We start from the raw sequence: 10029 nt of genomic DNA on the forward strand, positions 1-10029 counted from the left end.
CTCTGTGCAGGGAGGTGCAGGAGGTGCTGTGCCTTGGGGAGCGAGGAGGGTGGGCTCTGATTCGCGCGTCTGGCAGTCGCGGGACAAGGCCAGAGGAGGCTGGAGACCAAGAGGCTCCTGCAGGTATCCCCAGGGCCCGTGGCCCGTGGCACCCCTTTGGGGCCTTCCTGGAGAGCCATCAGCCCTGATGGTGGAGCTTTGGGGGCAGATGTGTTCTTTCTGAGGACAACAGTCATGGAGTTGTCGGTGGAAGTGACTTGGGTCATATCCAGGCTGAGCCTCTAGTCCTGGAGCAGAGCCTCCAGCCAGCCTGCACTGGGCACATAGGCAGGTGCACCATAGACCTTTGGGGAATGGGACACGGATGCTGGGGAGTGGTTTCTGCAGCATACAAGGCTGCCGGGCTGCAAGTCAGTACCAGGACCAGCCCCATTGTAGAGGGGAGAACCTGGGAGCAGAGAGGTAAAGTCACTACCCTCAAGGACACACCGTTACCCATGGTGGGACCAGGATTCAAACTCAGACTCTCTACTTCATGCTGCAGCACTCCTCTAGTGGTCTCCATGCTGGAGACTCCTTGAGGACAACACCAGGGCCTGATACCCAGAGTCTGGACACAGAGCAGAGGGGCGTGAGCAGCTGGCAGTGAGCAATGCCCTGGGGCCTCGGGAACTTTGAGGAAAGCATGTTCTCAGGAGCATTTCCCCTGTAGCCGCCTTGTAGATGCCGTCAGCCCCTTGAGTCTGCCCCCATGGCTGGGAGACTCACGCACTCTGCCCAGCGTGGGGTCTGTTTGAGAGATGGGCGTTCCAGCCATCGTTGCTGCATCCGGCTAAAACCACCCTGAGAAGCACCTGAGCACATGTTCCCTGCTGGGTGCCCCCCTGCATTAGAAATGATAGAAACTTAAGCTGGCTGAAGCAAGAAAGGGAACTAGCAGGCTCTTGAAATCAAAAAGTCCAAGGGTGCATCTACCTCAGGCATGGCTGGATCCAGGGGCTCCTGGAGGTCATGAGAAGTCTGTCCTCCTTCTCTGTCCTCTGTAAGGGCTTCATTCTCAGGCCAGCTCTTCCTAAGTGGGGGGCAGCGATGACCACCAGAGGCTCTAGGTCTACCAGCTGAGCAGTCCTGGTGAAAACAGGACACCCTTGGTCATCACGCACATCCAGGTAGGGATTTCATTGGCCAATGTTTGGGGCAATGTCTTGATTTGCTATTTGAACCAGTCATTCTGGCCTAAAGGATGAGGTACTCTGATTGGTAGGCCCAGGCCACATGCCAGAGGAGGGATTAGTCCATTTGAACAGCAGGGTTTTGCAGATTGTGGAGAAGTGCGCAGGTGGAGGGGAGGGTCTCCCCACTGCTGGTGGGGAAGGAAAATCATACAGTTCCTGTGGACGAGGTGTGGCAGCTCCTGAAAAGTTAAGTATAGAATCACCATGTGACCCAGCAACCCCGCCTCTGGGTGAACACACAAAAGAATGGAGAGCAGTGCCTCAGAGACACTTCCACACCCACGTTCACAGCAGCACTATTCACAGAGCCAGAAGGTGGAGGCACCCCAAGCATCCATCGACAGGTGAATGGACAAAAAGTGGTGCATCCAAACAATGGAATCCCATTCAGCCTTTGAAAGGAAGGAAATTCTCACGCATGCGACGACATGGGTGAACTTGAAACAAGCCAAGCACAAAAAGGCAAATACTGTATGATTCCACTTTTGTGAGGTCCCTAGAGGTCCCTAGGTAGTCACAGTCATAGAGATGAAGATAGAATGGTGGGCGCCAGAGGCTGCAGGAGGAGAGATGGGAGTTAAGAGTTGGATGGGGACAGAGCTTCAGTGGAGAAGATGAACGTTCTAAGACGGATGGTGGTGATAGCTGCAGAGCAATGGGAATGCTCCTAGTGCCGCTGAGCTGCGCACTTACAAATAGTTAAGATGTTATATTTTATGTTACGTGTGTTTTCCCACATTTAAAATTAATAATAAAGTTTTTAAAAAAGAGTTTGAGTTTCACTGTGTGGACGCGAATGCCACAGACTGTCCTCAAGCAGGAGACACGCATCATCAGCTGCAGCGATGCTGGCGCCCCAGACTCCCTGCAGCCCCGGCCTCTCCTTGCTCACTGCCCTAGGGACGCTGGCATCTCTGGCTGCTGCTCACAATGTCCAGGGCAGAGCCTCTCATCTCCCTGCCATGCCCCATCACGGGCTCCCCATCTTGGCAAAGCCACCTCCATATGGAACCCTCCCAACCCTGCAGAAGCTCCTGCCCCACCAAGCAGCCCCGCCTGGGTGACCTGCCACATGCTGTCTATGGCAGGCCTGTCCCTCGCTGGGCTGCAGTCACAGGCAGCAGGGCTACTCCAGGATCAGCACCATGGCCTCCACCCCAGGCAGGGCCAGGACGGAGAAGGAGCTCAGGACGTTCAGAATCCCAGACAGCACGGGTCCTGTCGGCTGTGCCCCTGCCCAGGGATGTCCCCAACTCTCTCCGAATCTGTGCCTCTGCTCAGAATCTCAGGTTCCAGTTTCCACCTTACAACTCATTGCTCCCAGGTGAACGTTCCTGAAGCCCAGCTTTGACAAATACCTCTTTCCTTTGTTTATGAGACTGTTTGTATTTTTTCTAATGGATAGACATTTTCTCCTTACATAACCACTGTGTCATTATCACACTAACAAAATGAATGTTTGCATATTCCAATGTCCTTAACTATCTCCAACCTGAATTTTCACAGAGGGGTTGCTTGGATTTGGACAAGGCCCCCTGTTACGCTTGGTTTTCTGTCTCTCCTCTTTGGATCCCACGCCCTCCCCTTCTGTTTTCCAGCCGTTTTAATTGCAGAGCCAGGTCATGTGTCTGAAGACTTGGACACAGCGGGCTTGGGTGGTGTTTGACAAGTGGCTCCATCCCTGTTTGCTGGGTTGCAGGTTCAATCTCCCAGCAGGCAGTGCTCCCTGCCACACCTGCCAGGAGGCCCTGGTGAAGTCAGGCTGATCAGGAGTTTGGGGCACAGCCTTGGCCTGCCCTCGCCTTGGTATCTCTCACTCCATGCACCCAGGTCTTCCGTCTACCTGGACTTTTTCTCTGAAAACACTCTCCTCTTTCGACCGGAAGAAATTATTCAAATGGAAAACTTGATGGCACTAAGTGGTTACCGTGAATGGGACAGAACCATTCCTAATAGAAGAGGTCTATACAAATAACTACAATAGAGGTAAAAATAATCTTAAATTCTAGCAAAAAGCTGTTGCTCACGTAAAGGCTTTCCTCTGATCAATGGCGAGATGCTAGTGAGATGCTGAAGACCCTGGTGGGGCTCTGTTCTTGGTGCGTGGATCTCTGGGCTACATTCTACCTGCCGGCTCAGGGGTCTTTCTCTGGTCTACCCTTCTCTCTCTGCGGACATGTGACCTTGCAAAGTCCACTTCCCAGCCCCCTCCACTGGCTGCCTGGAGTGAGGTTGGGTGGGAGAGAGGAGCCGTTCTCGGCTCCCCTGGCCCTCCCTTGGGGTGGGCATCCTCCTTTGTGCTGGCCTGTGCCGGTGACAGCCCCTCCTCCCCCTGCCCCTCTGGCCTGGGTGAGTATGGCTTCCGGCTGCGCCATCCCTTTGGGGTGCCCTGTGTTGGTGACTGGATGTGTCAACTTGCCTGGGCCTCGGGTGCCCAGATACGTGGCCAGGCCTTGTCCTAGTGCTTCTGAGGACGTTTCTGGATGCGATGAGCGTTTGGGTGGAGACTGAGTGAACCAGACCGCCCTCCCCAGGGCAGGTGCGCCTCCTACATCAGGTGAGGGCCTGGAGAGAACAAAAGCTTGACCCTCCTCAGAGGAAGAGAATTTCTTCTGCCTGACAGCTTTTGGGCTGAGACACGGGTCAGACTCGAACTGAAACATGGACTCTTCCTGAGTCCCAAGCCGGCCAGCCTCCTGGCTCCACTCACGCTCGCCCTGCAGGCCCCGGGACTTACCCTCCATGAAACCACAGGCCAACTCAGAACGATCACCTGTCTGTCTATCTACAGCTACTGAGAACCCTGACGCATTTCCCTCTGCAGATCAGCTTTCCTTCCCCCAGATGCTGCCTGCGGTGGGGGGTCCTACCTGAGGCTCTCACCAACCACCCAGACGCTGCCTGGTGTGAGCGGAGCTGGGCCCAGCCTGCCCTGTGCATTCGCTTTCCCCTGCCATGCACTCCCCGGCACTTTTTCTCCTTTGTTCCACGTGGCTGAGCCTGCCCAGTGGCTTCCACCCCTCCCAGTGGGGCTCTGAGTGGGGCTCACCTCCTCTGGGCCTGGTTTCTCAGACAACTTGGCACCCGCAGGTGTGCGACATTCCTGTCATTCTTTGCGCATTTGCCAGCCTGAAAGGCTGGAGGGAGGGTGCAAAAACAGTTTTAAGTCCAAGAAAGAGAGCCAGAAGTCCTCTTGTCTCTTAGTGAAACAAATTCCTTAAAAAGTAGTTTTCAAGACGCAAATTCCTTTTTAAATGATCAGTCCATGAGAACAGAAGGAGCAGGCCTGGCCAGGGATCCTTGTCTTGCGGCCTGTGCCTCCTGTGATTCGGAGCAAGTCTCTGTCTCTTTCTCAGCCTCAGTTTCTCCACTGTAAAATGAAGGAACAATTATAATGGCCAGTGCCCTCCCCTGCAGGGTGGGGTGGAACTGTGTGATGATTTCGTGCCCTCTAAACCCATGTTTCCTGGAGGGTGGATGCCACCTGGGACAAAGAAGCCCTCATTCCTCCTGGCCACAGGCCATTGCGACAGAGGGAATGGGGGTCGCCCAACCCTTCTGCTGCCTCATCTGTCAAAAGCAAAGCTTTGATGGGAAGAAACTCAGTTAACCCTCTACATCTGGCAGGGTCAAGAGTCATGGTGAGGGAGGCCCCGGCTCTCCTGATGGGACTGAGAAAGGTGGGTGTGAAGGAGAGGCCTGCTTTCTCCCCTAAGAGACAGCACCCCTTGTCTCCTGTGGAGGGGTTAGTGACCCAGAAATTGCCTATGGCTCCTCAAGGGGTAGAGAAGTGCTGAGAAGCCTGCCAGTACAGCAGGGCCTGGAGTCAGGAGCAGGCTGCTGGGCGGGGCTGCAGAGCCAGCACACATCTAGAAGCCAGGGGCATTCAGGGCTGAGAAGCAGAGGGGAGAGACAACTCCAGGGAGTACCAAATACACTCTAGTCTATGCTGATGTCATCCCATGGAGTTGTGCAGTGCACAACCCACACAGCTGTACATGGTGGCCCTGAGTGTGCTAAGGCACTCCCACAGCAGGCCCACAGAGCTGACCTCCCCTTCCCTACTGCCAAGAAGACCTGGGAGCTTTGCATTAGCCCCCAGTGTCATCTTGGGAAGAAGGAAGAAAAGGGAGAAAGATCCTGATAGGAAGTTTAACAGAGACCAGAACTTACCATTTTCCCACAAGAGACTATGAAAACAAGAGAGATCATTTAAATAGCACTAGATTAAGCTATTTTCTTTTTTTTTTTTGAGACGGAGTCTCGCTCTGTCACCCAGGCTGGAGTGCAGTGGCGGGATCTCGGCTCACTGCAAGCTCCGCCTCCCGGGTTCACGCCATTCTCCTTCCTCAGCCTCCCAAGTAGCTGGGACTACAGGCGCCCGCCACTACGCCCGGCTAATTTTTTTGTATTTTTAGTAGAGACGGGGTTTCACCGTTTTAGCCGGGATGGTCTCGATCTCCTGACCTCGTGATCCGCCCGCCTCGGCCTCCCAAAGTGCTGGGATTACAGGCGTGAGCCACCGCGCCCGGCCAGATTAAGCTATTTTCAAAGTTTGGAATGTTGTTCCTGCTTCCCAGTAGGACAGAAGCTTGGGAGCAAAATTAGGTAAGTTACATACAATTAAGAAGCTCCATTAACAAAATGCCTGAGCAGAGCTGTGTACATTCTCAGCCCTAGAGAGTCCTGGCTCAGGTGCAGGTGGAGGGTGGGGGACACTGCTCCTCCTGCCCTGCCAGCAGCGAGCAAGTCACACCCCCAGCAGACACATGGGGCCCGATTGGCCAATCAGAAGATCCCTTCCTCCAGTCAGGGCTCAGCATGCCACTCCATAGGGACATTTTCTTCCCCTGAAAAAGAGATTCCTCCTTTACATAGGGGGGAGTTGGTAAACCAAGAACTGCTGGAGGCCACTCCATGAGCCGAGGAGAGAAGATAATTCAGAGGAATTCAGAACCGAGAGATGGGGAGAGAGGGAGGGAGCGAAGGGAAGAGAGAAGGAGAAAAAGAGGCAGAGGAGGAGAGAGCGATGGGGAGGGAGAAAGGGAAGGAGAAAGGAAAGGGAGGGAAGGACAGAAAGGGAGAGAGGGAGGGAGGGAAGGAGAGAAAGGGAGAGAGGGAGGGAGGGAAGGAGAGAAAGGGAGGAGGGAGGGAAGGAGGGAGAGAGAGGAAGAGGGAGGGAAGGGGAAAGGGGAGAGAGAGAGAGAGGGAGAGGGAAGGAAAGAGAATGAGAGAGAAAGGAGGAGAGGGAGAGGGAGGGAGGAAAGGACAGAGGCAGAGAGAGAGGGTGGGTAGAGAGGAAGAGAGGGGAAGGGAAAGAGAGAGAGAAAGTTTAAACTTCTGGATCCGTGGTGTCTAAAGACTAGAACTGTCGGGGCATTCAGTTACGTTTGCCAAGTCCCATTTCTCCCTTTGCCTAAGCCAGTCTGTCACTTGGGACTTACAGAGGGCAGCTCTCTGCTGTGGCTGTTGAGCACTTCAAATGTGCTTCGTCTGAATTGAGATGTCCTGTGTGTGCAAAACACACATCAGATGTAAAATATTAAACATTTTAAATGGGTCACATTTTGAAATTATAATGTTTTGGAGATATTGGATTAAATAAACTATGGTATTAATTTTACCTATTTATTTTGCTTTCTAAAATATGGCCACTAGAAAATTTAAAATTAAGCTCCTGGTTCATGTTGTATTTCCATTGGACAGGGCAGGGCTAGGCCCATTTTCTGGGTATGAAAGAATATACGTTGTAATTTTGTGTGGGGAGGGGGTTGTCAGCTGCTTCTAAAGAGAATGATTTCTGTGAAGCAGAGTGGGGCTTGGCTTTCTGAGTAGATAATGGATCTCATATGCAAGTTTGGGGTTAGAACCGAGGAAGAGAAGAAATGCTTTGCCTTTTTGTTTTTTCTTTTTTTTCTTTATTATTATTATTATTATTTTTTGAGACAGAGTCTGGCTCTGTTGCCCAGGTTGGAGTGCAGTTACGGTATGATCTCAGCTTACTGCAACCTCCGCCTCCTGGGTTCAAGGGATTCTCCTGCCTCAGCCTCCAGAGTAGCTGGTGAGAGGTGACAGCATGCTGGCAGTCCTCAGAGCCCTCGCTTGCCCTTGGCACCTCCTCTGCCTGGACTCCCACTTTGGCGGCACTTGAGGAGCCCTTCAGCCCACCACTGCACTGTGGGAGCCCCTTTCTGGGCTGGCCAAGGCTGGAGCCCACTCCCTCAGCTTGCAGGGAGGTGTGGAGAGAGAGGCGCGAGTGGGAACCGGGGCTGCGTGCGACGCTTGCGGGCCAGCTGGAGTTCCGGGTGGGCATGGGCTTGGCGGGCCCCGCACTCGGAGCAGCCGGCCAGCCCTGCTGGCCCTGGGCAATGAGGGACTTAGCACCCGGGCCAGTGGCTGCGGAGGGGGTACTGGGTCCCCCAGCAGTGCCAGCCCACAGGCGCTGTGCTCAATTTCTCGCCGCGCCTTAGCTGCCTTCCTGCGGGGCGGGGCTCGGGACCTGCAGCCCGCCATGCCTGAGCCTCCCACCCACTCCATGGGCTCCTGTGCAGCCCGAGCCTCCCCGAAGAGCACCACCCCCTGCTCCACGGTGCCTAGTCCCATCGACCACCCAAGGGCTGAGGAATGCGAGCGCACGGCACGGGATTGGCAGGCAGCTCCACCTGCAGCCCCGGTGCGGGATCCACTAGGTGAAGCCAGCTGGGCTCCTGAGTCTGGTGGGGCCTTGGAGAACCTTTATGTCTAGCTCAGGGATTGTAAATACACCAATCAGCACCCTGTGTTTAGCTCAAGGTTTGTGAGTGCACCAATCGACACTCTGTATCTAGCTGCTCTGGTGAGGACGTGGAGAACCTTTATGTCTAGCTCAAGGATTGTAAATACACCAATCGGCACTCTGTATCTAGCTCAAGGTTTGTAAACACACCAATCAGCACCCTGTGTTTAGCTCAAGGTTTGTGAATGCACCAATTGACACTGTATCTAGCTGCTCTGGTGGGGCCTTGGAGAACCTGTGTGTCGAAACTCTGTATCTAACTAATCTGATGGGGACGTGGAGAACCTTTGTATCTAGCTCAGGGATTGTAAATGCACCAATCAGCGCCCTAACAAAACAGGCCACTCGGCTCTACCAATCAGCAGGACGTGGGTGGGGCCAGATAAGAGAATAAAAGCAGGCTGCCGGAGCCAGCATTGGTAACCTGCTCAGGTCCCTTTCCACGCTGTGGAAGCTTTGTTCTTTTGCTCTTTGCAATAAATCTTGCTACTGCTCACTCTTTGGGTCCACGCTGCTTTTATGAGCTGTAACACTCACCGTGAAGATCTGCAGCTTCACTCCTGAGCCCAGCAAGACCACGAGGCCACCGGGAGGAACGAACAACTCCAGACGTGCTGCCTTAAGAGCTGTAACACTCACCGCAAAGGTCTGCAGCTTCACTCCTGAGCCAGCGAGACCACGAACCCACCAGAAGGAAGAAACTCCGAACACATCTGAACATCAGAAGGGACAGACTCCAGATGTGCCACCTTAAGAGCTGTAACACTCACCGTGAGGGTCCGCGGCTTCGTTCTTGAAGTCAGTGAGACCAAGAACCCACCAATTCTGGACACACTGAGATTACAGGCATGCACCACCACGCCCGGCTAATTTTGTATTTTTAGTAGAGACAAGGTTTCTCCATGCTGGTTCTGACTGGTGTCAAACTCCCGACCTCAGATGATCCGCTGGCCTTGGCCTCCCAAAGTGCTGGGATTACAGGTGTGAGCCGCCGTGCCAGGCCATGCTTTGCTTTTTGTTCTCAACAGTTTTACTCAGAATTCACATAACACCCAATTCCATCCACTTAGGTGTGTAACTCAATGGCTTTTTCTATCTTCACAGAGTTGTGCAACCATCACAGCTATTCAATTCCAGGACATTTTCATTACCCCAAAGAAAAACCATGTATGTCCCCTTTCCTCCATATCCCCCAGCCCCTGACAACCAGTGTTCTGCATTCTGTGTCTGCAGATTTGCCCATTCTGGATGTTTCATATAAGTGGAATCATAAATTAGTAGTTCTTTCCGACTGGCTTCTCTCACTGAGCATGTTTCCAAGGTTCACCCGGGTTGCGGTATGTGTAAGTATTTCCCTTTGTATGGCTGAATAATACTCCACTGTAGGGTGCACCACATACTGTTTATCCACTTGGCAATTGATAGGCATTTGGGCTATTTCCACTTTTTTGCTAAACTGAATAATGCTGCTGTGAATATTCAGGTACAATTTTGGGGTGAACATTCATTTCTCTGTTGTAAAGAGCTAGGAGTGGAATTTCTGGGTCACATGGTCACTCCATATTTAATCATCTAAGGAGCTGCCAGTCTATTTTCCAAAGCATCTGTGCCATTTTACATTCCACCATGTATGGAATCAATGAGGGTCCCAGTTTCTCTGCTTCCTTGTCAGCATTTGTTCTTATGGGTTTTTTATTCTAGCCATCCTAGCAGGTGTGAGGGGACCCTGCTGCAGCTTTGATTTGCATTTCCCCGAGGGCTAGGAATTTTGAGCATCATTTCATGTTCTTTGTGGCCACTTGTATATCTTCTTTGGAGAAATGTCTACTCAAGTCCCTTTCCCACTTTTAAATTTGATTATTTGTCTCTTTATTATTGAATTATAATAGTCCTATATGTATTCTAAATACCAATCCATTATCAGATGTATGATTTGCAAAATTTTTCACACATTATGTGAATTTTTTCACTTTTTTAATGGTGCCCTTTCAATGCACTGCTTCTAATAAGAGAATGATA

At 52.4% G+C, this 10029-nt stretch overlaps 1 annotated feature.

Annotated features, from left to right (window-relative positions):
- Positions 4957 to 5600: an enhancer, noted in NCBI's record as "H3K27ac-H3K4me1 hESC enhancer chr3:126762997-126763640 (GRCh37/hg19 assembly coordinates)". NCBI's record gives its function as "activates a minimal SCP1, AML or CMV promoter by ChIP-STARR-seq in naive H9 embryonic stem cells {active_cell/tissue: H9 hESC(naive)}" and the evidence as "EXISTENCE:reporter gene assay evidence [ECO:0000049][PMID:30033119]".

The sequence above is a fragment of the Homo sapiens genome, chromosome 3 (assembly GCF_000001405.40).
Source record: "Homo sapiens chromosome 3, GRCh38.p14 Primary Assembly".
Taxonomy (NCBI): Eukaryota; Metazoa; Chordata; class Mammalia; order Primates; family Hominidae; genus Homo; species Homo sapiens.